Below are 26,276 nucleotides of genomic sequence, written 5' to 3' on the forward strand. Positions count from 1 at the left end.
GATCATCCCTGTTCTTACAGATGAGGGAACTTCAAACTCAGAGAGGTTTCTCTTGTGCACAAGGTCACACAGCAAGGGACGGGCTGAGATTGAATCATGGGTGGACTAGCGCCCGCATGCAGTGCCCAAGGTCACACAGCAAGTGACGGGCTGGGATTGAATTGTGGGTGGAGCAGCACCCTCAGGCAGCACTCTCTGGGGCCCCCTCAGGTGCTCTTCTGGACAGTTCTGCGGCTTTGTATTCTGGGTAGCCACCTTCATGTCCCCCACCCCACAGAATGAATGCTGGGTCCCAGGAAAGAAGGCTGCTGCTCAGGGAGCTGTCCCCGGAGGCTTTGGGAAGATGCGGCCAATCACAAGCACGGATGGCGAGGCTGCTGCCTGGGAACGGGAGGCACCAGACTCTTACGCTGCTCCCAGGCACTAAGAGTCCATGGGGAGAAAAGCACACAGGTGACAGATCTGTGATCCAGGGCCCTGAGCCTGTTCTCTGCGGGTCTGTCCTCTTCCAGGCTGGCTCATCAGAGGTCAAAGTCACCGCTGGACATTCAAGGCCGGGCACCTTATGGGCAGAGGACTGTGGCTCACACAGCGTCCGGGTCTGCTTTGTGGGCACCTGACCCGTGAGCCACTCGCTTGGGCAGTTCCCATCCGCTCCTGGGTGCACGGGCAGGAGGTTTGGAGGCTGTGGCACTGCACAGGTTCGGGTCCCCTCTCTGAGCCTTGGTGTGTCCATCTGAGGAAGACGGGCACCCCTCATCCCTGAGCAGCGGTGAATGAAATGCTGGTTCAGCTGGACTGGGGAGGGGAGGCAGAGCTTCCGGTGTCGGGGCCCAGGCAGCATTGGAGGAGGACAGAGGAGGCCCTGGGGCTGTGGCTATGAGACAACATGAGCTCTCAGAGGGACACGGGGTGCCACCCAGGGCCTGTGCTGCTACCCGCAGAACTGGGAGGCCACACCCTGTTCAGTCCCTAGGTGTGGATAAGCCTGCTGGGCAGGGGGAGGTGTGGGGATTCCGGCTGAAGGCTAGTCCCCAGGCAACCCAACGGCAGCGGCTGCTCCCTGGGGCTCCAGAGCCCAGCATGCTCTGCCTGGGGCCACTGTCCTCGGGGTGGTGTATACCTCCAGCCACAGCATCTTCTCCTGGGCTGGGGTCCTCGCCCTGACCTCTGGAGCTCCCTCTGCTCTCTCTGGGGGCTCAGAGAGCACCCTGCCTGCCCAGCAGGAGGCCAGGCCTTCCAGAAAGGTCATCACTGTGGCCCCAGCTGGCCACTCCTCCCTAACAGCCTCTGTATAGAGGGACCCTCCAGCCACTAGCTGGATGCCAAGGTGGCCACGCCTGAGCCCCCAGCTCTCCCTGGGCTGTCCCTCCACGCCCTTTCTGCAGGATCAGCCCTGCTGGCTGCCCCCTTCCCCACTTCCCTGGCCCACTTCCTCTCCTGGCTTTCTCCCTCCTGGGCGCTCCTCCCCACTTCCTCTGTGGAATCTCCTGCCCCCCGATGGCACCTTCCCACCTGCCCGCTTGTCAGCACACACATGTGCGTGCTCTCTCTCTCTTTTTCTTGCTCTCTCTCCTCCCAGCATTTTGCTGAGATGGGGAGATGGGAGGACACTGACAAAGAGTAGGCTGGGGGCCAGGCAGGAGATCACACCTGATTTGAGTCTCAGACCCTCTTGAGAAAGGAACACAAACTCAGGACACAGCCACGTACTCACAGTTGGAGTGGCTGGGGCTACCAACTCCCACGGTTCCAGTCCCATCTGGGAGCCGGGGACCCTCAGTCTCTGCCTCCAGCCTGGACCTCTCCTCTGAGCTCCGTCTGCCCCCTGGCAACCCCCCGGACGTCTCAGGCTCTCCAAGCCAACATGAAGACACCCACCTGTTCTCATCCCATCTCTGAATAAAGGTGGCCTCTGCCGGCCTGCACCAGAGCCAACCCAGTGTCTTCTTTGATTCCGTCACCCCCGCAGCCAGTGGTTCCTGAGCTGCCACCATGTGGGCCCTGCCAGTGAGATCCTTCCAGGGCCCCCCACTGCTTTTGTGGGAGCCCTTTTCCTCTCGCCCTGACTGGGCAGCCTCCAGTCCACCGTCTATGCAGCTGCCTTCTGATGTTTTAAACACAGAAAATGCAACATCTCCTGTCACGCTCGTGTCGTGCTGACGTTCCCCTCCCTGGCACTGCGCTCCAGACCTTTCCTGATTGGACCTCGGCCTGCTTCCACCAGCTTCTGGCGAGTCCCAGCTCCGCCACCCTCACCGTCTCGGTTTCCCAAGGCCGCCCTGCTCCTGCCTCCAGACCTGTCTACAGGCTGTCTGTGCTGCTTAAATCCTGAGTCAGGCCAGGCTTGAGTCCTCCCAAGGGCACACAAACTGCTCTGTGACCTGACGCATGGCCCTCACTGTTCTTCCAACCCACGGCCCGGCCTCCGCCCTGGGTGATGCGGAATGCTCTCCCCCATATACCGGCCCTATTCAAGTGTACACCCACTTCAAGCCGTGCCAGGTACCGTCTCTCTGCACTGACTACTTACTGTATTTGAAAGTGCACCCTTCCCCCAGCCCTCTCTAGCCCTCTTAGCACAGGGCACTGATATAACTCACTTTCAGCTTGTTTCTCTTTGTCTCCCAGCCCCTAGTAGAATGTCGGCTCCCCAGACAGGGAACTTTGTCTGTTTTGGCCTCTGCTCTGTCCCCAGCACCCAGGACAGCACCGGAACACACCAAGCACTCATGAAATACAGAGAGATGCCCCTTGGCTTACCACGGGCTCATCATATCCCATAAACCCAGTAAGATGAGAAGATCAAAAGTCAAAAATGCATTGAATGCACCTAACCTAGCAAACACCATGGCTTAGCCCAGCCTGCCTTAAACATGCTCAGAAACCTGCATTAGCCTTCGGCCAGGCAGAGTCATCTAGCACACAGCCTGGTGCATCATAGAGGGCTGGCCGTCTCATGTCATTCGCTGAATGCTGTACTGAGAGTGAGAAACAGAATGGGTGTGTGGATACTGGAGGGTGTGTGGGTACTGAGGTTCGCTTTCTACCCAATATACATCGCTTTCACGCCAGCGGAAAGTCACACGGTCCCATGTCAGAAGTTGGGGACTGCCTGAATCTGTTGACTGGCAGCTCCCACCCACTGTCTCTGGACCACTACGCTCTTCTTCCAGTTTTCTTTTTTTTTTTTTTTTTTTTTGGAGATGGAGTCTCGCTCTGTCGCCCAGGCTGGAGTGCAATGGTGCAATCTCGGCTTACTGCAACCTCTGCCTCCTGGGATCAAGTGATTCTCCTGCCTCAGCCTCCCAAGTAGCTGAGATTACAGGTATCCTCCACCATGCCTGGCTGATTTTTTGTGTTTAGTAGAGACGGGGTTTCACCATGTTGGTCAGGCTGGTCTCGAACTCCTGACCTCAGGTGATCTGCCCGCCTCGGCCTCCCAAAGTGCTGGGATTACAGGCATGAGCCACTGTGCCTGGCCCTCTTCTTCCAGTTCTGATGTCTGCATATTCCATACCTAGGGGGTCTCACGTCTCTAAGCCTGAGGCCAGGTGCCCTGCCCGTCCCACCAGATATCCTCACGAGATTGACAGTAGCACGTCAGGGAGGCTCTTCCTTCGACCACGGACTAAGGAACGCGAGAAGAACTCTTCTGCCCCATCTTGCAGCTCCAGAGGAGTAAAAAGGGAAAGGAGGAAGACCACCTCTGCCCTGGTCCCCACCCACCACCTTCCCTTCCACAGAAAAGCTGCAGCAGGGTCGCTGTCTCCTAACCCTCCCTCCCAACGGGCTCCGAGACCAGGCAGCAGAGAGACAAGCAGAGACAAGCACCTCCCACCAGACATGGGACTCCGCCCGGTCCCACAGCGAGAGGACACACAGAAAGTGACAGAAAATGCCAAGCCACAGGCAGGTTGGGGGTGAAGTGCCCCCAACTGGGGCCTCCCCTGTGCTGCTGCAGCAGTTAATTCAGAGCTTTCCTCACCCCCACTCCCACCTGGCCAGACCACCCTTGGCTCCCACTATCCCACCTCTCACACATGCCTCATGTGCTGGGATTGGAGGAAAGGGTCTTATTCCCTTCGGAAGTGCTGGGTCCTTTCTAGGGGCCACTGAGTCCTCTGGGCAGTGCCTCAAGCTGCCCGGGGGTTTGTATTATGCTGACACGCCTCTGACCTTCGAGGGTGGGACGTGAGAGACCTCAAAAGAGAGGATGGGGCCTCAAGGGGCTAGGAATGTGGGACCCCAAGCAGCAGCAGGCCCTACTGCCGGGGACACGGAGTCCACACCACCTTGTGTTCCTCCCCCAAGGCAGCGAGTCTTGTTCTAGAAAACTTCCTATAACATAAAATCAATAGCCTCCCTTCCTGTGCAGAAATCAGGTGCACTGATAATATAAACTACTCTGCACATAGTCCAGATAATGCCCTATGTGTAATATAAACAGGAACAGAAAAGCAGTCAATAATAAAATATAGATTTCACTATGACGCCCTCTTTGGAGGGGTGGCAATGCCTGCTGGGAACTAATGGAATGGGGATGGCTCCCGGGTTTGTCACCGCCATAAAGTCCTCTGGCTTCCCTGCTGGGGAACAGGGACTGGGCCATGCTCACCACTGCCTAGCACCATGTCCAGCACATAGTAGGTGCTCAGTAAGTATCTGGTGGAGGGATGGATGAATGACTGAATGATGAACTCAGTCCCGGGTGAGATGTGCAGATGGTGTTGTGGGTGAGATGAGTTTGTGATCGGGCCCTTGCGAAGCCAAAGAGGTGCCCGGCGGGCAGGCGGCGGCGGGATGCGTGTGCGCTCGCTCTGTCGGCGTCTCTGCCTCTCTCAGCTCCCTGCACGCTTCTCCAGGTCAGGGGCTGCTCTTGTCTTCTCTGTCCCCCTCGGCGCCCCGCTCAGCGTCTGGCACAGAGTGGGTGCTCAATAAATACCCGTTGAATGTAACGCATTTCAATTCAACAGACATTTATTGAGTGCCCACTGTGTTGGGTGTCACAATCCTACCTTCCTTGGGCGCGCTACAGATGGACGTCCCGGGGTGCAGGTGGCGTGCCTTGCTGTGTGCAAATGCTTTGTTCAGTAAAAGCTGTGTGCAAATGGAACTGGTGCCCACGGACTCAGGTCTGGGGGCTACTTGGTGACAATCAAAAGAACCCCGAGAGAAAAAAAAGGGTGGCTCCCTCTCAATCTCCATGTGCTCCCCTTCCCGCCTGGATTCCTCAGGAGGCCGCAGACGGCAAGGCTCACCTGATCCAGGCACAGCCGGCAGTCTGGGTCCTCGCTGCCATTTCCATGCAAATCGGGAAACAAGGCAATGCCATCGGGACAGAAGTAAAGGCACAATCAGAATGGTTAGACACAGCGGGTTTCCTGCTCAGAGGAAGTGGATGTTAGCACACCAGGAGAAAGCGAAGGAAGGACAGCATCATAGCCACATCTTCATAAGCAGGCATGGCCAGGGGAAGGACACATATGTCTGTGCTGGAGCAGAATCTCCCCGGGGAATTCATGAGTGCAGCACGGGCCATTGGAGTCCTGCAGACCCAGCATGCCAGGATGGAGGCAGCCGCAGCCTGCGTGCATCTGCACAGGCAGCCTGGGAGAAGAATGTGACGACAAGGGGTGGGGCTGGCACACATGCCCTTGCCGCTGAGTGACCACCTGACATCCACACACCTGACATGGCCTCTGGGCCTCGCAAGGCTGGCCACCCACCAGGCTCGTGTTCTCCTGGGGCAACTCCAGGGCACCTACATTCTGGCATTTTCAAACGAGGAAGCAGTGCACGAGGTGAAGGCCACATGTGCAGGTCACAGAGAGTATCAGGGGCACGGGGGTCACAGGGGGCAGCCCGTCTCTAGTCCGGCTTCTCCCACACAGCACCCCCCTCTCTTAGTCCTGAGCCACAGGCAGGCCACAAACGTCAGTAGAAATTCTGGGGACAGTAGTTGGCCTCCCTGAAGAGTCTGTGGGGAGGTCATCAAGTGGGGGAGGTCATCAGTATGGCCCCAGCCTTGCAGAGTTCTGCCGGCCACCTGGCAAGGGAAGAACTGAACACTGAACGATGCCACCTTGAGATCCCTAAACACTGATTTCCTGGTTCCCAGGGCAAATGCCTTGATGCCGGGACACTGAGCAAAGTAGGGAGGGTGCTGGGGAAGCTGCCGAGCTGGTGCAAGAGGAGCTCTCCTCCTCTAAACACAACGGCATCTGACACGTGAGTGCAGGGCAGATGGGCCATGAGCCAGGCCAATGTTCCCTGGCCCGTGGGCAGGTGCTACACCAGCCAGGGGCAGGGATTCCTAGGATCCGAGAGAGAGGGACCGGAGGACTGGCATGCAGCTGCCCACGGGGGCACAGGCAGGCGCGCGTGGACCAGCCCCATAGCCCCCTTGCCCTGCCTGCAGATGAGGTGGGCAGTTCCTCCGGAAGGAGCAGGCTGCCATCTGGGGTGAACCCCTCTCCCTCTGGGGGATTTTTGCAGGGGGGGGGTGGCTTTCCCATGGTGACATCAGCCTTGTGCCTGAATGCTGGGATCCTGGTATTTACAAAGCTGCACCCCAGGCGGGGGCAGAGGCCTGAGGGGTGCACAGACACCTGCTTACAGAGATCATACACAAGCAACACACCTTTCTTTGTTTAAAGTGATTCTTTAACACATCATCATTTCCAAGCTTCTGTGTCTTCACTCTTTCCTGTCACATTGAAACACTTTTCTACTTTCATTGTTAAGTAGGACGGTTTACAGTTTGCAGGCATGAGGATGAGGATGAGGATGAGAAACAGTTTCTGTTTACTGAGCAGCTACTATGGCCGGCCGAATGCCACACACATACCCAGTTCCAGTCTCCTAACACCTGGCGCCCATCACACGACGGGTCAGTGGTGAGCTCAGATTTGAACTTGGGACTGCCTCACTGCAAAGCCAGGTCTTTCTTCTGCTCTCACACCCCCATCCATCCTCTCCCAGCCCCTGCTTCGAAGCTAAGCCCAAGCCTTGCCCAATGAAAACTGCCCCCAGCCCAGCTGAGACCCGCAGACCGCTTCTGGGAGGCACTGAGTGAGCACTTGCTACTGGTTTTCACCTATGATTTACAGCGGCCGGAAGCAAACAGCATTATCTGGAGTTTTCTCTACATTTGAAAATCACTCCTGATTCAGTCTTCAAAACACCCCTAGGGTCAGGCAGACACCATCACTGTCTCTCTATGAAGCCTGAGGCTGTGCCTCGTTCAGGATGAGTCACAGGGGACAGGGATGGTGCCCATCACCAACTCCAAGTCTGCACTCATCAGCCGGACCATGCCCATGTCTGCTCTGGAGGGAACAGGCCCTGACTTCCACCCGGCAGCCCGGACGCCTTTCTCCTAAACAGCCCAGGAGCAGGTCTGGGTTTCTGCATTCTTGCACACCTTGGAAATCTGTGAGGGGACATGCAGGCGTGGCCCTCGTTAGCACACTGGCTCGGGGACAGTTCTTGGGAAGCCGGCAAACTGCAAAAGCCCCATATTTCCTTCCGGTCGGTCCTTAGATTTGTGGGCTTTGCTTTCATGCTTTTTAACAGGCAAGGCTTAGATGTAGGGGGATAGCTCTGAGTTCTGGGGCCTCTTTGCCGCGAGGCATTTTGTGCACATCACGGCTCCTTCTTCAAAAGAACCACTCACGTGAGTGAAAGCTGTCCCCTGCCATCCTTTGGAGAGGGTCTCTGTCGGTCCCGCTGCTGTGGGACAAGGACTGGGTGTCCAGGTCTGGAGAATTGGTCCTTGTGTCTGCATCCCCCTTGAGCATCAGCCAGCTGCTCTTCTGCTGAAGGTAAAAAACAAAGTCATGCAAATGTCAAGGTCATCTGCAATGGTGGGAACATCTCACTGGACCCTTCTTGTAGCTTCCTTACTTCTAACATACGAGCTGACCCCACTGTGAGAAAACTCAATATGTGAGAGATGCAGCTTTCAATAAAAATCTTGCCATTTAGTGAGACCTATCCAGACGCTATACAGGTACATGGAGCATCTGGGGGAAACGGAGCTGCCCCATCTTACGGACACAGCCACTGAGGCTCTGGGAGGCCAGGGGCCCACAGGGCTCTGCACGGGGAGAATGAGGGCTGCTGCCCAAGTCCAGCCTCGGGCTCTCCCTATGCACAGCCCTGCTTTCCAGCCCTAGCACAGGTAAAGCCCAGCCTGCAGCCTCCTTTTGTCATGAATACGTTGTTGGAACACGGAGATGCCTGTTCGTGCCCTGGCTCCGGCTGCGTTCACAGAGTTCGGTAGCTGCATCGGAGATGGTTCAGCCCACAAAGCCAAAAGTACTTACTCTCTGGCCCTTTATGAAGAACGTCTGATGAACCTGTCCTAGAATAATGGATGCCCCAGGGATGCACTTTGATTTATTTCCCTTTCACGGTACACATCTCTTCAGTCACAGAACCATAACCAAGTCACACGGGCATATACCCAGGACCTCGGTAGGAGACGTGTGCATCCTAAATGTAGGAAGGAAACTGATGGAAGGGCCTCCTACCTTTGGCCTCGCAGGGCCCCTAAGGAACAGAATGTAAGAGGAAGATTCGAAGTCTCAATCGGAGAAGCCCTCACAAAAGCAATTTCTTTCTGAGCAAGGCTGTTCTCAGCCAGATCTGCTCCCTGGCATTACCTTCCTGTTATCCTGGTCCAAGCTTCCATCCTCCCCATCCGATCGCCTGGCAGCTGGAAGGGAAAAATCCATTTGTAAAGGCCACACACCATTGCTTGTGGGTTTCTGCCTCATGGTTTCCCATGTTACAGTTATGCTCAAAAATGAAAAATCAATCAAAGAGAAGGTCAGTAGTACGAGTGCCTTTCAAAGGGCAAGGAACAAGGTAAGCTGGAGGAGGTCCCCAGGGATCACGACCCAGGGAGCATCAGCAGCAGGGGTGTGAAGTGAGGCCTGATTTCAGTTCTAGCCAAACACCCACACAGAGTAATGTTTTCAGATGTAGCCACTTGGCCTTTTGATTTTGTTTTGTTTTTTGTTTTTTTGAGATGGAGTCTCGCTCTGTCACCCAGGCTGGAGTGCCATGGTGTGATCTCGGCTCACTGCAACTTCCGCCTCCCAGGTTCAAGCGATTCTCCTGCCTCAGCCACCCGGTAGCTGGGATTACAGGTGTGCATCACCATGCCTGGGTAAGTTTTATATTTTTGGAAGAGATGGGGTTTTGCCATGTTGGCCAGGCTGGTCTTGAACTCTTGATCTCAAGTAATCCACGTGCCTCAGCCTCCCAAACTGCTGGGATTACAGGCATGAGCCACCGCACCTGGCCCACTTGGCCTTTTGAGAACAAGCATTTTAAAAACCTCCCACGTAACACAAGGTCTCAGTCGTGGAGGCCTACGTGTCTGACTTGGGCGAGGGGCTCTGGATACGCCACTGACTACCCCGCCCACCCCCGCAGGAAGAAGCTTTGCACCATTTCACAGATCGGGAGACTGAGGCTCAGGGACATGGTATACCTCGCCCAAGGTCACGGGCAAGTGGGCGGTAGGGGCCAACATGAGCCCAGGCCTTCTGAGTCCAAAGTCCTTCCCTGTCTGCCACACCTGGCTAACTGCTGCTGGCAAACTGCAAAATGGTGACGAGTTCTGCTACTGGAAGACATCCACGAAGAGCAGTCAGGAAATGACAAAATTACAGAATGCAACCAGAAATGGACTCAATGAAATAGAACAAGCAAAAGTTCATTTTGCAACAGTTCCTTTACCAAGAATACCATCTGCAGCTGAGCAACGAGGCATCTGGATTTTCCATTTGCCTTTTTCTGGGGGGTTGTCACCCAGCTGGGCTGACATTTCCAGCGAAGAATGAGCAAATAAATCACACAAGGCCATGCTGACATTTCTCGGCATCCAACTTAGTAGGTAAACACCCACACCTTGTGTATCCCTTACAGAAACACTGACCCCATGCACTGAACAATTACACAAAAACCCGTCTCCGTCCCCAGCCCGCCACGAAGACCCAGGCCTCAGGAAGGACACGCCGAGGTGGGCTTCTTACCTGCAGCGGGCGGCGGGCTCGGGCCCGTCTGTCTTTTGCCGTACCCTGCCTCCTGCACCACCAAGGACAAGACTGATACCAGGCCAGAGAGCTTGGAAATTTGGGATTGGGCTACAGGACCTTGACAAGATAAGGCCAAAATTGAAGACTGAGCAGTTCCGTTCCGAATACACTAACATCTCGTTACTCTCAACGGCTACCTGTTTCTCCTTCTTCCAGGAGAGACAGTGATTTTCAGCGTGAAAATACAAAGCCCTGCTCTCCCCACTCACAGAGGCAAATCAACGCCAAGCCTGCTCAAGAAGCGCTTAATGGAGAGGCAGAGGGGGCAGGGAGCTCCGGGGGACGCATGCCCGCAGCTGGACTCTCCTGTTGCCCAGACAACAGCCGTCACCCGGCAGCGGAGCCCTTGAGTGTGCAGCCATACATCAGCGATGACTCTTGGCAGCTGCCCAGCAAGTCCCAGGGAGAAGGCAGGCTAGGGGCTGCTTGGAGCTCTAAGAGCACAACCATTGTCCAAGCCAGAGAAGGGCCCTGGGGCTGAGTTGGCTGGCAAAAATAAGTGCATCGTTTCCTGAAAAGCCAGGAGGTTGGAAAGTGGATCACCACTCTTGGAATAATCTGCACGTGCATGGACAATTAAGTCGTCGCTCCAGCTGAAGGGCCCTTGGGGACCTGAAATCCCAGCCCTTGGAATTCAGGCCTGGGTCCCCAGAGGTCAGCCTGGCTTCAGGGACTTTCCTTGGCCATGGAAGATGGGTTGACTGACACATTCTGGCTGAAAAGCCATCTCAGGTCTCAAAAACAGCCTCCGCCATCTGAGAGAGGGATGCTCTGCCAAGATTTACCAAGTTTCCTTTGCAAACACTGCCAGCTCCTCCAGATGTGCACAGTTTAACCAGACTTGTACCAACGGCTTTTTTAAAAACCAGTTTGCTAGCCCACAGAACAGATGACCGAGTCTCTTGAGAACTAGGAGCTTGGGTAGGAAAAGACAGGAAACTGGCACTTCGGATTATTGGTGGCTTGCTTCCATAACAGCTCTGAGCCTCAGTTTCCTCATCTGTAAAATGGGCAAAGGATGCCCACCCCTCCACGTTGTGAGGATCACATGAGATAACCTGCATGGATGCTGGAACATAATAGGAAACTCAGCTTACAGGTTTGAAAAATTAGGAATAAACAAGAGGCTAACTTTGAGGCTAATTTGCAGCATGCTGCTTTGGGATGTCAGAAAAAGATCAACTCAGGACAATCAGAGAAAGAGAGTTTAATATGTCTTTTGTATCACACAGGCAGCTCCTTCTGAGTTCTGGAATGCATTTGCCAGTGAGGAACCCTCTTGGGAAAGGCTGGCTTTCTACTCCCTGTATTCCTTGGGAAATCTTTGGTTGGAGGCATCTGAATGAAAGTAAGAGGTCTCAAATTTTTTTTTCTGGATACAGAACTGGCCTGCCTTTCCTCCTTCCCAAACCCCATCTTATAATTCATTCATATCTGAACATCCATGCCAGCCTGTGTGCATCCCTTACTGCTTTATTCCTTTCCATATACTTATTCATTCACCCTTTTACCTACTTATCCATGCACCCACTCCTTTAACTATCTGTCCATTCATCCAGCCAGCCAGCCATCCACCCATCCATCCAGCCACCACCCATCATCCATCTGCCCATCCATCCACCCATCCTTCACCCATCCATCCATCCATCCACCCACCCACTCATCCACCCATCTATTCATCTAACTACTCATCCATCCATCTACCCATTCACCCGCCTATACATCCATCTGTCCATTCATCCAGCCAGCCAGGCACCCATCCACTGATCCATCCACCCACCACCCATCCATCTAACCATCCATCCACCCATCCTTCACCCATCCATCCATCCATCCACCCACCCATCCACCCATCTATTCATCTATCTACCCATCTGTCCATCTACCCATCCACCCACCTATACATCCATCTGTCCATTCATACATTCATCTACCCGCCCACCCATCAACCCACCCATTCGTTCATTTACCCATTGATCCATCCATCCTTCACTCATCCATCCATCCATCCATCTACCCACCCACCCATCCACCCATCTATTAATCCATCCATCTACCCACTCACCCATCTATCCACTGCCCATCCATCCACCCATTCTTCACCCATCCATCGAGCCAGCCACCCAACCATCCATCTACCCATCCATCCACCCACCACCCATCCATCCATCTATCCATCCACTTGTGCCTTCACTTATTTTGATATTTATTCATCCAGCTTCCACTTATCTACTCACTCACCTACTCATCTATCCATCCATCCATCCATCCACCCACTCACCCACACTCACGCATCCATCTACCCACTCATCCACCCATCCATTCATCCATTCCTCTCTTTGTCCACTTCATTTCTTTGCCCACTGATGCATCCATTCATCCATGTAGCCCTTAATCCATCGATCAGTCCATCTACCCTCTGTTCACCCTTAGCCCCTCAACCTTTATCCCCATCTCCCTGTGCTGAGTGCCTACTGTGCACTGTACTGTCTTAAGAATGGGGGATGCAGAAAAAACTCAGACATGACCCTTGTCTTTCAGAAGCTCACAGGCCAGTGAAGTCGAGGCAGAGGTGGATGAGAGGGTTTCTATACATAACAAGAACTTTGATGGGAGGAGCAAAGTCAACACAGAGACACTTCCCTGAGAACATGCATGTGATAAACACTTACTGAATACCTACTCATCAGATAAGCACTGTATTGTGGTCTGGATAAACATTTTTCCTTTTTTTTTTTTTTTTTTTTTGAGATGGATTCTCACTCTGTTGCCCAGGCTGGAGTGCAATGGCGCAATCTCGGCTCACTGCAACCTTTGCCTCCTGGGTTCAAGCAATTCTCCTGCCTCAGCCTCCCGCGTAGCTGGGATTACAGGTGACCACCACCATGCCCGGCTAATTTTTTGCATTTTTAGTTGAGACAGGGTTTCACCATGTTGGTCAGGCTGGTCTTGAACTCCTGACCTCAAATGATCCACCTGCCTCAGCCTCACAAAGTGCTGGGATTACAGGTGTGAGTCACTGCGCCCAGCCCTTGGGTAAACATTTGTAAAGCATGTTAACAGATAATAATAGATGCTATGAACCTCATTTACAGATGAGGAGACCGAGGTCCGGAGTCTAAGGTCACATAGCTGGTGATTGGAACCTTGTCTGTCTGACCCTGAAGCCAGAGCTGGAGCCACTTTGTCCTCCACGTCACACGTGTAAATTTTCAGACTCAGGGCTGCATCGCCACTGACTTTGCTTCCTGTGACTTGTACAAATCCACTTTCCCACGGAGCAGCTGAAGAGAGATGCTTCCAGGGAAAGGGCCGCATCTGATGAGTCTCTGCACTCCCTTCAGTAACTGATGTGCCAACCTGCAGCCTCAGGTGCACGGAGGAAGTGAGTGAGATGGACATGGCACAGGGGCCCCGTGTTTCCAAGAGAGGGCCCTACCAGCTCCCTCTTTGGCGGCATCAACACACCGACAGCTCTAACCTCCAAGGATCTCTTGCCCATGTCCAGGGGGCCAGCAGAGGTGTGGGGGCTGTTCCACCACTGTGCCAGGGGTGCCAGCCAAGGCTCTGCAGCCAGCAAGTGGTCTATGCCATGCTCCTCACCAGTTTTCTCTGCCTCCAGTGCAGAATCATTCCTGAGACTGCAAGAACCTGAGGCAAGTCTGGGACTCTGGCAGCCAGGAGCCAGGACCGGCACCCCGGCAGGTGCTCTCTCTGACAAGGGAAGGAGCTGATAGCAACTGGGGAAGGTGCCCGGGGTTTCATCCCTTAGGCCAGAGAGAGACGCCCTCTCCACTCCTGGGACTTCGAATAGCTGTGCAGGAGGCTTTGAGGATTTGTCCCCTCCTACGTCTTCCAGACTTAGCCTCTAAGGAGTTGACCCATCAACAGGATTTTTTTCTGTTCTTCTCAGAATAATCTCTATCTCTACAATTCACATTGAATTGGAATGACATTGAGAGGAAGAGAGAGAGGCAGAGGGAGGGAGAGAATGTGTGTGTGTGTGTATGTGAGTGAGTATGTGGGCAGGGCCCACAGCATGGGCGTTGGAAACTAGAAACCTTGCTGAGCCTCTCACCTGTCTGGCCGTGGGCAAATCCGCTAGAATCTCAGCTCCACAGGATCGGGGGAATGCAGGGTCACCCATGTATCCCCAGCACTGGGACAAGCCTAGCACATAGTGGGGTGGGTGCTTGAAAAACATCCCTTGGACAAATTAATGAAAAAGTCACTTAAATCCCTCCATGCTGGGGTTTCTCCTCTCTTGAGTCAGAATAAGAACCTCTGCTCCCTGGTTGTCAGGATGGAAAAAGACTGCAGAGGACAAGGAAAGTGGGCCTGCAGTCTCGGCCCCAGCCAGCGCCTTTGCCTCCCTCCCTCTCTCCTTCCGGCCTCCCTCTCTTCCACTTTTCTTCCTTCCTTCCTTTCTTTCTTTTTTTTTTTTTTTTGACAGAGTCTCGTTCTGTCACCCAGGTTGGAGTGCAATGGCACTAACTCGGCTCACTGCAACCTCCGCCTCCCAGGTTCAAGCAATTCTCGTACTTCAGCCTCCCGAGTAGCTGGGATTACAGGCGCCGGCCACCACACTTGGCTAATTTTTATATTGTTAGTGGAGACGGGGTTTCACCATGTTGGCCAGGCTGGTCTCGAATGCTTGACCTCAGGTGATCCATTCACCTCAGCCTCCCAAAGTGCTGGGATTACAGGTGTGAGCCACCGTGCCCGGCTTGTCTTCCACCTTTCTAGGACAGCCTCTCTGCATTCACTGCACTGCAGAAGGAGAGGTTAGCGTGTCTTTTGTATCACACAGACAGTTCCTTCAGAGCCCCAAAATGCGTCGGCCATGAGGAACCCTCTAGGGAGAGGCTGAGTTCCTACTCCCCGGCTCCCCTGGGGAGCCTCAGTGGGGGCTTCCCAGTGCAATCCGCACTCTGGACACAGCCTGCCGTTCCTCCCCATCCCGCCGGTCCCCAAACCAAAATGAGACTCCACCCTTTGAGGTCAAAAAGGACCCAAAACCAAAATGAAACTCAACCCCACTAGAATCTGGAATCCCAGAGACACAGCAAGGAGTGATTAATTCCTGCTTTAAACCAGGGCACAAAGACACAGGGAACAACGTGTGTCCCGTGGGGTCACTTCCACTGTTGGCTTTGGGTGGGCAGGAGTGACAGCCCCCACCTGCCGGACAAGTGGTGGGAGGTGTGTGTTGGGGGGTGAGGAGAGAGCTGCATTGCCATCTGGTGGCTCATGTTTGCTTAGAAATGAAACAGCAAATCTGGTGAACTATGAGGACTGTCCCTGCATCTGGAGAGTCGAACTTACTGGGAAATGTTGGGGAGCCATCATTTTTCCCTCATGAAATCCTTTTATTTATTTATTTTTATTTTTGAGTTTTTCATCTTTTATGCATATTTTCCTAAATTTTATATAGCAAATCGATGATAAAATCACCACACTTCCTCATTTTATAAGTTCAAATCAGATATGAGACGATCGTAAGCTACTATTCCTGTCTGTAATAAGAGGTGATTTCTTTTTTGTTGTTGTATTTTTTTTTTTTTTTTTTTGAGATGGAGTCTCACTCTGTCGCCCAGGCTGGAGTGCAGTGGTGCGATCTCGGCTCACTGCAACCTCTGCCTCCCGGGTTCAAGCGATTCTCCTGCCTCACCTCCCAAGTAGCTGGGATTACAGGCATGCACCACCATGCCAGGTTAATTTTGGTATTTTTAGTAGAGATGGGGTTTTGCCATGTTGGCCAGGCTGGTCTCAAACTCCTGACCTCACGTGATCCACCTGCCTTGGCCTCCCAAAGTGCTGGGATTACAGGCATGAGCCACTGTGCCTGGCCGGTCATGAATTCATTTTAAACTGCGCACAGCTTCCCTCCCCTGAGGGAATCGATCCACAGAAGGTCCCTGCCCGATATCAAGTGTCGTGTGTCATCTCCCTGAAACAGCCTCAAAGCCCCACGGGTTATATGGCCTTGAGTCCCATTTTCCAGGGGAGACAGACTCTGAGAAAGGAAGCTCCCCACGATGTAGCTGGAAGCCAGGGGCTGTGGTTTGCACTGGGTCTGCCTCCTGGGAGGGTTGCAGGTCCCAGGAAGAAATCACTTTTTCTCAGACCAGACAAACTAGAGCCAGGAAAGCATGAGGCAGGACAGCTCCTGCCTGCGTGCTGGAGATAAAGACTGTCTCGAGGACTTTCCACAGTAACCTCACCAGAAATTCCTTCTCAAGGACCGCAGAAACCAAGATAAGATGCTCTCCACAGAACACCTGCCCAGTGTTGGCGTCTCTACCAATGAACGGACGCCAGCTCCAGCCTCGAGCCTCTGCCGCCGATGAACTCTGTTTCTAGGCAGCTTATGTGAAACGCTTTTGCTAAGAAGAGCTTCCCTTTACCCTCTCCTCTTCGGGTGCATATATGGCTTGCCACAGCCATGCATCTCGGATTAGAATCCTCTTTTCTAATTCCTCAGTACTTTCAACATATTTGGAGATACTTCTCTCCGGTTTTTTAGGTCAACACTCCTAAAAGTAACTGGGTTTAATACCATGAGTGACCCTAGATGGTGTGTGGAAACACAAAAATGTCCACACTTATTCCTGACCTGTTAAACTTCCTCAACGTTCAGCCCTTGAGTAGATGACATGCTGGTGGGTGCGAGGCCTCCTGCGCCGCCTCCTCCCAGGCCCTCATACAACTAGCCCTGCTTCATGACCATTCCTGACTGTTCAGGGAGGTGCTCTATTCTTGCCTGTCTTGTGTTCCTAATTCCCTATTTATTATTATTATTATTATTATTTTTTTTTTTCAGAGAGAGTCTCACTCTGTCACCCAGGCAGTGGCGCAATCCCGGCTCACTGCAACTTCCGCCTCCTGGGTTCAAGCCATTCTCCTGCCTCAGCCTCCCGAGTAGCTGGGACTACAGGTGCACATTGCCACACCTGGCTATTTTTTTTGTATTTTAGTAGAGATGGGGTTTCACTGTGTTGCCCAGGCTGGTCTCGAACTCCTGAGCTCAGGCAATCGGCCCGCCTGTGCTTCCCAAAGCGCTAGGATTACAGGTGTGAGCCACCACACCCGGCTTACAGCAAAATTTTGGAATGATAAAAGAATTTTGGTCCTTGCTTAGGGTTTAATCAAACAGGAATTAACTTGCCTTTGCATAGGAGAATCATATATAGCCAGATTTTTAAAAATACACAAAGATGGCCAGGTGCAGCGGCTCACCCCTATAATCCTAGCACTTTGGGAGGCTGAAGCGGGTGGATCACAAGGTCAAAAGATTGAGATCATCCTGGCCAACATGGTGAAACCCCACCTTTACTAAAAATACAAAAAAATTAGCTGGCACGATGGTTTGCTCCTGTAGTCCCAGGTACTTGGGAAGCTGAGGCAGGAGAATTGCTTGAAGCCAAGAGGCGGAGGTTGCAGTAAGCCAAGATCGCACCACTGCACTCCAGCCTGGTGACAGAGCGAGACTCCGTCTCAAAAAAAAAAAAAAAAGCACAAAGACGATCACTGGAGACAGTAAAATCTAATCTCTCCACTGGATGGTTCAGGTAAAGGACTGAGGTCGAAACTCTTTGTCTTAGATCTGGGTCTGTTGGATGACAATGAACAATTTCATAACCTGGTTTGCTCTCTTCCCCTTTCTAAGGGGCAGACCCCCTCCTGTCCTGCACATGTTAATCACACATTTTAAGGCACCAATCTGAGACAAAATGGGGGGTTAATAAAAGGCCAAGGTAGTCAATCCCAATCTTGTAGCCCCACCAGCACAGAATACACAGCACTCCAGGCAGGCTGTTCAGGCTGGGTGCCATGATGGAAAGCCAGTCACTTACTGTGGCTGCTCCTTCTTTTGGCCAGGCCTCAGTTTCCCCACTTGTAACCCAAGGGAACTGGTCTGGACAATTTCTAAGGGCCCTAGAGTCTATCTAGCCCATCCCGCTCTGATCCCTCTTGGAGGTTCATGCTCTACGCTTCTCTGGTGGAAAGGCAATGGTAGAAGCCATCATTTCTGGAAACTCAAGACATTTCATTCACTTTTTTCCTTCTTGGAAAGAGGAAAAAAATGCACAAAGTACAGGACCTATTGCCATGATGGAGAAAGTATTTTAAAAGTTTGTATAACCTGATCACTGATTTGTCAGCAAGTCACAGGAAACACACTTTTTATGAGATTCCATCTAAAAGTGTCCATCCAGTTGTCAATGTGGGATGTGGCTATTTGCTTTAGGTACATCTGGACAAGAACGTTTAATATGGAAATGCCTTTTCCCATCGCTAGTGACTTGATACAATTCCCATCATGTGCACAGCACTTTACAGTTTAGAATGCACTTCCCTATTCGATATCCCATGAAGTTCCCACGGTCAGCCTGTGGAAAGGGCGGGGTGGAGGGGATCGGTCCTGTTTTGCAGATGAGTAAACCGAGGCTCAGGATGGTGAAGCAACCTGCTGTCAATCACCCAGAAATCCCAGGAGGAAAGAGAGGGGAGACCATGTGGCCCCGATTCCTGCTCCATGGCCCACGCAAGCTGCTCCCTGCGCACCTCCCAGGCAGGTTCACGTGGAGCAGAGCTGGGCGTCAGCTCCTATTTGCTTATGCAAGAAATCTCCGTAACGGAAGGCAAGGTCACCCATCCCATCATCAGAAATTCTCAAAACTCAAGACTAAAGTCTCCCTGAGGAATAAACGACCGATTCAAGTTTGTTCTATATTCCAAAGATCGGGCCTGGATCAGATTGTGGTTCTAGGAGCCTCTGTCCCTCACCATCTTGGCTAAAGTCTCTCTGGCTGCATAATTGAAGGCGCCACCACCAGGCTCTTGGCTATAAACCCCCATCCCAAGCCCTGGCTGATGTGCATTAGCCTCGGCGTCGTAACGCACAGAAGTTCCTTACTCAGACATACCCTTCATCGTAATTTATCAGAACAGGACTCTCGGGAGGCTGCTAGTGAATTTGCATTTAATAGTCAGACTGCTAAGGGCCTTGGTGGTGCCTTCACTGCATTTATCAGAACACAACAAAAGGATGCATTCAGAAGCAGATGGGTATTGACAGGCATGCGGGGCAAACCACAGCAGCGGGAGGAATCCAACCGTACCATGCTGTCTGTAGATAGGGGGTTTCCTATAGATGTTATCTTTTACGCCAGTGTCTGGGGAAGAAGAAAGAAAAAAAAGGAGAGAACAGGAGGGTAAGCAGCAAGTTGTGATGGTTTCTGTTCTACAGCTTTTTGTAAGCAACAAGCACTCACCCAGATTTAGAATCATCAGGCAGGAACTGGCACCCAGCGAGCGACAGACACCCAGGCCCCAGATCAAGCCTCCCTGACTCCAGATGCCACCCTCATCTGCAGGAGATGGGGCAGCAGCCAGGAACCTTGTGGTCCCCCGGGAAGTGTAGCCAGCTCAGACAGCCCTTTTCCTTCACCCCATTCCCAGGAGGACAGGTGTATCTCCCTGCCGTTTGTGGGAATTTGGAAGAAACTCAAACACACATCGGTTTGGGGTTGTGAAAACCCGTCTGATGGTTTTAAAGAAATCTCAGTGCCTGGGGAGCAGTGGAGGAGCCTGGAGTGTCGTCTGGCGCCTGCTGAGTCAAGGCAAGCTGACAGTTTGGGTGTGGCCAGTTTCGGTGTGGACAGTTTCAGTGTAAGGAGCCCAGCCAGCGTGTCCCGGAGCCTACCTGGGACGTGGAAGTGGCGAGGTGCCTGCTGGTAGGTGGAGGGGGGCGGCTTGCTGTCAGAGAGCACGGAGAGGCTGGGGGTGCTCCGGCCACTTTCACTGCCTCCAGACGGAAGGGCAAAGGCAGCAGATAGAAGGGGAAACGGGAAAGCAAAGTAGAATATTTCAAGCATGAAAAGCTTATTTGCAGCGAGCCCCATCTCTCCTGTCTGGTGGAGCAGCCCAGATCCCCTGCCCAGGGGAAGGAGTGTGGGCCTCATCCACGTTCCCAGACTGTGTCCAAGGACTTGCTAATCCAACCCTGAGTTGAAGTCTGTCCAGAGTCCCAAGGCAGAGGAGCGACATTGCTGAGGGCAGAGGGCTGGGCGGTGAACTAAGAACACCTTAGGGGGCTCACTCCATCTGCGCCTCTGCATCCTGGCTGGTGTTTGAATCCAACCAACTGCAAATTCGCCAAAACAAAGGCCCCTCTTCCTAATTATCCTTGTATATAAACATGCTGTTTTCCTTGAGAATCTAAAAATTAGCTGCTCAGAATAGGATTAAAGCACTAAAATGATCAAAATTGTCCTTTAAAAGCCATTGAGTAAAATTTTGCCAGCTGCAGAAGATAAGAAAAGAGTAGTATCCATCCATTACCACATTCTTTTTTTTTTTTTTTTTTTTTTTGGGACAGTGTCTCACTCTGTCACCCAGGCTGGAATGCAGTGGCACAATCACGGCTCTGCAGGGTGCAGACTCCACCTTCTGGGCTCAAGCCATCCTCCCACCTCGGCCTCCCAAGTTGCTGGGACCACAGGTGTGCACTACCACGCCTGGCTAATTTTTTTAATTTTGTAAAGATGGGGTTTTGCCACGTTGCCCTGGCTGGTCTTGAACTCCTGGGCTCAAGCAATCTGCCCACCTCTACCTCCCAAGGTGCTGGGATTACAGGCATGAGCCACCGCACCCTGGCCACATTCTTAAATACAACTGCTTTTTGGCAAATTAAATGGAAAGCATCCTCTGACCCTGCTTCAATTGCTGAGCTCACCTGGAACTATAATTCTGTTTTGCGAACAAGGTTGGATTATCAAGTCACGCATCCAGAGGGCCGAGGTGACCTGGGTGACGCCCCTCCCCCCACACCTGTTTGGGGAATGAGGTGACAGACAGATGCAGGGTATTGAATGCTTGTGATGAGAGAAGGTGTACGCTCCCTGCAGAAGACACTCCCAAGGCCCCGTTCCTCCCACCTGCCAGCCCCAGGAAGCCCCCTCAGCACTAGGCAATGGGCTGCAAGGGGTAAGGCGCTCTTCACCTGAGAACGTTCCCTCAAGCTGCACAGCCTTTCAGAGCAGCAGGACCCTGCGGTGACATCGAAATGAAACAGAAATAGAACTTCTGCGGTGGGTGAGTGATGTGCTGGGCCTGAAGGTGGACTGGCCAGGGACCCCACAGTGGACTCGTGAGGAGGGCTCGACAGACACTGGCCCAGAGGGGGCTCTTGCCTGGTGGTGGGCTGCATGCAGCGGGAGGTCACCTAGGAGCAGGGTGGCCCCAGCCAGGCTGATGCCGTAGAAAGGACTGCAGGCTCTAACTTTGAGCATTTTCTCGTGCTTGGGCATGGGTGCTGATTTTGCCTGTCAATGCTGATGGAGCGTCAGATAACTGCCCTTCCCTTAGCAACCTCCCTCCAGAACAGCATGGAACCTTCTAGAGCCTCAGTTGGCTCTACAGGTGCCCTTGCTGGCCGTGGCACCCTTGCTGGTCAGGTCACGCTCGTCAGGATGCTCCACGGTGGACTCCTGCACCTCCTGGTGGCAGCAGGGGCCTCACAGCAGGGAGACTGGACTCACGTGCCCGGAAAGGACACCGCGGATCCCTCCTACCGACTACGGCTGTGCTGGACCCATCCCCACTGGCAGCAAAACAGGGCAGGTTTTAAAAACTGCACCCACACGAACTCTGAACAGAGGAAGACGGTTTGCTTCAGGCACCATCTCTAAGCTGTGTGTGCTCTTGGCACAGCTCGTGGACCTGGGAGGCCAGGAAGGGCTGGTTTCTTCCTATCTGGAATCATGGCCCCTGATCTGCCTCAGCCCCCACTCAGTGGGCCGAGGATCTAACACATCACAGTGTACCTGTCCCTCCCCAGTTCCCAGCCACAGGGCAGCATCCCCTGAAGTTTCAAACCAGAGTCTGTGGACACATGTGCACGTCTATTTGAGGAGGGTCCGGAGACTCATCAGCTTTCATCAGATACTTGGAGGGGCCTGAGGCCGCAGGGAAGCTGGGGACACAGCCATGTTGGCCCACCTCATTCTGGCCCCCCAGGGCCCTCTAACACCAGCCCGAGTCCTGCCACCTCGGTCCCTCCCTCCCAGCACCCCGCCCCTTGACGAGTGTCCTCTCCAGGGCTTCCCACCTGTCCGGACCCTTCCTGGGTCCAGGTTCAGGCTCTGCCTCCTCTGCTCAGCCTTCTGGTAGGACTTGGTCTCTGAGGACCTCTCCCTCCTCTGCACTCATGCCTGCCTGCTGCCTGTGAGGCTTCGTTGGAACAAAATGCATCGCCAGCTCCCACCTGGAGCACTGTGCTGCTAGGCTCACATCCCAGGGGGCTTCTGATATGCTACAGACGGGGATGCTTCAGCATCCTTTAACCTGGGATGCTGCCTGTTAGGAGAGGAGCAGCTTCAGCCCTTTCGAAAAGTCTTCCTTCTCCTCTTCTTCCTCCTCCACTTTTTCCTCTTCCTCCTCCTCCTCCTCTTCTTTTTCCTCTTCCTCCTCTGCCTCCTCTTCCTCTTTTTCCTTTCTCCTCCTCCTCTTCCTCCTTCACTTTTTCCTCTTTCTCCTCCTCCTCCTCCTTCTTCTCTACTTTTTCCTCTTCCTCCTCCCCCTCCTCTCCTCTTCCATTTTTAAAAATTTCAGTAAATGTTTCATTAGGAACAGCTTCAGGTAGTCCAGGGGGCTCCCGCACCCTCCCGGCCCGCGTCCCTGCCGTCCCCTCTCCCATCACTAGGGTGCCCACAGATTGGTGCCACCTGCACGCCGCACGGGATTCGGGTTTCCCCGGGTGTCACCTGATGTTCTTCCGCTCCAGGATCCCACCCAGGAAACATGACGTTCTGTCGGCACGTCTCCCAAGGCTCCTCTCGGCTGCGACCTTTTGCAGACGTTCCTTGTGTCTGAGGACTCTGGCAGTTTTGAGGAGGGCTGCTGAGGGTTTTTGCCTGATGTTTTCTCATGGCGATACTGGGCTTATGGGGTTGAGAAGGAAGCCCATGAGGTGAAGTGTCCTCACCACATCCTATCAAGGGCACCTGCTGTCAGCAGAGCGGATCACTGGCCGTGGCGGCCTTGCTGACCGGGTCATGCTCGTCAGCCATGGTGGCCTGCTCCACGGTGGACTTGCTCCTTCTCTCCCCTCCCACATGGCGCTCTCGGGAAGGAGCCACTCTGTGTAGCCCACACTTGTCCACATGTCAGGAGTGGGAGTTACGACCCCCTCCTGGAGGACGAGGCATCTACTCCCGTTATTTGGAATTCCTCTGTGTGGGAGATCTCGCTTTCTCTCCATTTATTTGTTTACTCAACATTTATGTAGATCCTTGTGGACTGACGGCTCTTGCTATTATACTCTAGTTTACAATCCAATGACACATCCTTCATCGTGGTGCTCCCAGTGGCCCAGTGTGTGCCTGGTGCTGGCTCAGCTGGCTCCTGTGGAGCCTCCTCCAGGTGACACCGCAGAGAGGCCAGCTGGTGGCCACGGGCAGGCCAGGTAGGATGATGCCCATGCTGCAATGCACAGCCACATCCTGGGTCCTCAACCACAATCACCCTGAGGACGATGCTTCAGTTATGAGGACCTTTTGCAGCTGAAGGAATGGCCGCTCAGCAAGATGAAGAGGCGCTGCCGGGGTCTGGGCAGTGGAGGGTGCGGGCCTGGACCTGAGGCTCCATCCCAGGGCCCCTCCCTCCTTCCTTCTCAGGCCAGGGGTTCAGAGTGGGCCCACCGCTCAGCACATGGAGGCTGCCTGGCCAGAGGCTTCAGCAGCACCGACTCCCCTCCCAGCCTGCACTTCCTGCCCCCGCTGTCGGCTCCTCCACAGGGGACACGCCAAACTGAAATTCACACAAAAGTGCCCATGGCTGTGGCCAGCACCACTCTGGAAGCTGGGTCTTGGTGGGAAGGTGTGCCGGGGGTGAGGCCCTGCCAGCATTCGGTGGGGGGTGGGGCCAGGCCTTGCCTCGGGCAGCCGCCCCCGTACAGTGCCGTCCGGAGGGAAATGTCCACTGAGAGGGGCCAGAGACGCCAGAGGAGCCCGGGGAGCAAACAGGAAGGGCTTTCCCAGAGGGCAGGCGACGCTGCCTGGTGTCCAGCTGACCCCTGGGGGCTGCCACCAAGAGGTCCTAGGCTGGGACACACTGGAGCCCATGGCTGCAGAGGAGGACAGGCACCTTCGTGTGGCCTCCGAGGTCGACCCAGGACCTGAGGGTGAACACAATTTGTGAACGGGACCCCGGGTAGAAGCCTGACCTTGGGCTCTGCCAGAAGGAGCTTTGGGATCTTGGCCAGTGGCTTCTCTTCTGAGCCTCAGTTCCCTCAGGAGTACATTCTGGAAAGAGGCTGGGTGTTCCCAAGGTTACGGACAGCCAGGGGAGTCTAGTAGGGGCAGAGCATGGGTGCCAGGCTCCCCCACACCAGACACCAGAGAGGTGGCCAGGTGGCTTTTTGTGATTTCTTTTTTCTCTTTTTTTGAGATGTAGTCTCGCTCTGTTGCCCAGGCTGGATGGAGTGCAGTGGCTCAGTCTCAGCTCACTGCAACCTCCGCCTCCTGGATTCAAGCAATCCTCCCGCCTCAGCCTCCCTAATAGCTGGGACCACAGGTGCGCCACCACACCCGGCTAATTTTTGTATTTTTAGTAGAGACGTGGTTTCACCATGTTGGCCAGGCTGGTCTCGAACTCCTGACCTCAGGTGATCCGCCCACCTTGGCCTCCCAAAGTGCTGGGATTACAGGGGTGAGCCACCACGCCTGGCCTCATGTGATTTCTGAACGAAGGGCACTGGCAGGCAATGTGGCCGGGGGAACCAGGGCAGAGATGGGCATCAAAGAGGCAAAAACCTGGCCCCACCCAGGGGAGGTCTCAAAGGGAAGGTGCCTCCTGGCCCCGGGAGATGCCCTTGGAGGGGCTGTGGCATAGACGGCTTCGGAGCCACATTGTGGTGGGGGGTGGTGGGTAGGTGGGTAGCCTCCAAACTGGTGGTGGGTAGGTGGGCACCCTCCTCTGCTACAAGGCGTGGAAGGAAGGGGAGAGGGCTGCCAGTCCTTGGGCTCTCTCCTTGGCTGTCTCGGGAGCTGAGGAGGGGGCTGCTCCCCAGGGGGCCTGTCCTGGGCCTTCTTCACCCTGAAGTGGTAAGAATTAGACGGTGGACACTCAGGACGGGGCAGAGGAGGGGAGGGTCGCCAGGGCTGGCTCTGGCTCTAGGACCCACAGAGGCTGCTCACAGGGGCTGCCTGGGGAGCGGGGTGAGCCTGCCCTCGGCTCTGGCCACTTCCCTCTCAGGGACTCACAGTTGGGACAGCCACACCAGAAGGAGGGCTGAAGGTGGGAGGAGAGCCGGGTGTCCAGGGCCTCCTGGCATGGAGCAACAGGAGAAGCGGCATCTCCTTGGGTGCCCTGCCGTGACTCACCCAAATGGTTGATTCACTCTGGGTTTCAGGACCGCCCCCTGCCACACGACTGCCGTGGACCACACGCAGCAAAGCCCCTGCTGGCCATGCTTCTGTTCTGGGGAGGGGCCCTTTCTGGCTTTGCTTGTTTGTTTGTTGTTGTCTGAGACAGGGTCTTACTCTGTTGTCCAGGCTGGAGTGCAGTGGCACAATCGTAGCTCACTGCAGCTTCAAACTGCTGGCCGAAGCAATCCTCCTGCCTCAGCCTTCCGAGGAGTTGGGATTACAGGCATGCACCACCATGCCCGGCGTTTTTCTTTTTTCAGACAAAGGGTCTCACCAGGTTTCCCAGGCTGGTCTTAAACTCTTGGCCTCAAGTGATTCTCCTGCTTGGGCCTCCCAAAGCAGTGGGATTACAGGTATGAGCCATTGCACCCAGGTGAAGACTTTGCTTCTTCTCAAAGGAGTCAGATCATCCCAAAGCTGTAGGGACAGGCCCTCAGAAAAATGAGGACGGCCATGTCCATCAATGGCCAGGAACTCTCAGTAGGCCACGGGGCCCGCCCAAAGCAATGATGATGAGGTACACGGAGAGGTGTGCAGGTCTGAATGAACCCTGTTTGGTGACCATCCAGTGATGGAGAGTCCAGCTGCCTGCCCCACCTTCTCGCTGCCTGCGGCCTGGGAGGCTTTTCCAGAGACATTCCCACTCAGCAGCTGCTCAGGATGGGGAATTATTGCATTGCTTGGGGAATTGGCAAGAACATCATTGCTGCCTCCTCTAATGTTCTGAGTG

General features: G+C 54.1%; 1 protein-coding gene and 1 non-coding gene across 52 annotated transcripts in view, besides 5 other annotated features; both read right to left on the bottom strand.

Moving 5' to 3' along the window:
- Positions 1 to 26,276, bottom strand: part of ABLIM2 (actin binding LIM protein family member 2) — a 193,487-nt gene that overhangs the window by 35,054 nt on the left and 132,157 nt on the right. For 8 of the 51 annotated variants that reach the window (NM_001130085.2, NM_001130084.2, XM_005248024.5 and 5 more), the window contains 4 exons: positions 19,822 to 19,923; positions 19,238 to 19,291; positions 8,670 to 8,722; positions 7,679 to 7,817 (listed from right to left, as the gene is read on the bottom strand). In NM_001130085.2, the coding sequence (NP_001123557.1) occupies positions 7,679 to 7,817; positions 8,670 to 8,722; positions 19,238 to 19,291; positions 19,822 to 19,923 (348 nt within the window). Of the gene's footprint in view, positions 1 to 5,261; positions 5,385 to 6,648; positions 7,821 to 8,669; positions 8,723 to 10,049; positions 10,170 to 19,237; positions 19,292 to 19,821; positions 19,924 to 26,276 lie in introns of those variants that run through there. The other 43 variants (XM_047416308.1, XM_047416301.1, XM_047416299.1 and 40 more) reach the window with 16 other exon arrangements.
- Positions 4,921 to 5,001, bottom strand: MIR95 (microRNA 95). The gene has a single exon (NR_029511.1). It is a non-coding gene; the product is annotated as a microRNA 95 (primary transcript).
- Positions 5,685 to 6,273: an enhancer, noted in NCBI's record as "H3K4me1 hESC enhancer chr4:8007792-8008380 (GRCh37/hg19 assembly coordinates)". NCBI's record gives its function as "activates a minimal SCP1, AML or CMV promoter by ChIP-STARR-seq in naive H9 embryonic stem cells {active_cell/tissue: H9 hESC(naive)}" and the evidence as "EXISTENCE:reporter gene assay evidence [ECO:0000049][PMID:30033119]".
- Positions 13,022 to 13,316: a silencer, noted in NCBI's record as "tiled region #2931; K562 Repressive non-DNase unmatched - State 21:Repr". NCBI's record gives its function as "represses a minimal TATA promoter and a strong SV40 promoter by Sharpr-MPRA in K562 cells {active_cell/tissue: K562}" and the evidence as "EXISTENCE:reporter gene assay evidence [ECO:0000049][PMID:27701403]".
- Positions 13,022 to 13,316: an enhancer, noted in NCBI's record as "tiled region #2931; HepG2 Activating DNase matched - State 8:EnhW". NCBI's record gives its function as "activates a minimal TATA promoter and a strong SV40 promoter by Sharpr-MPRA in HepG2 cells {active_cell/tissue: HepG2}" and the evidence as "EXISTENCE:reporter gene assay evidence [ECO:0000049][PMID:27701403]".
- Positions 24,091 to 24,614: an enhancer, noted in NCBI's record as "H3K4me1 hESC enhancer chr4:8026198-8026721 (GRCh37/hg19 assembly coordinates)". NCBI's record gives its function as "activates a minimal SCP1, AML or CMV promoter by ChIP-STARR-seq in primed H9 embryonic stem cells {active_cell/tissue: H9 hESC(primed)}" and the evidence as "EXISTENCE:reporter gene assay evidence [ECO:0000049][PMID:30033119]".
- Positions 24,623 to 25,123: an enhancer, noted in NCBI's record as "H3K27ac hESC enhancer chr4:8026730-8027230 (GRCh37/hg19 assembly coordinates)". NCBI's record gives its function as "activates a minimal SCP1, AML or CMV promoter by ChIP-STARR-seq in naive H9 embryonic stem cells {active_cell/tissue: H9 hESC(naive)}" and the evidence as "EXISTENCE:reporter gene assay evidence [ECO:0000049][PMID:30033119]".

Source organism: Homo sapiens, chromosome 4 (genome assembly GCF_000001405.40).
Source record: "Homo sapiens chromosome 4, GRCh38.p14 Primary Assembly".
In the NCBI taxonomy this organism is placed as follows: domain Eukaryota; kingdom Metazoa; phylum Chordata; class Mammalia; order Primates; family Hominidae; genus Homo; species Homo sapiens.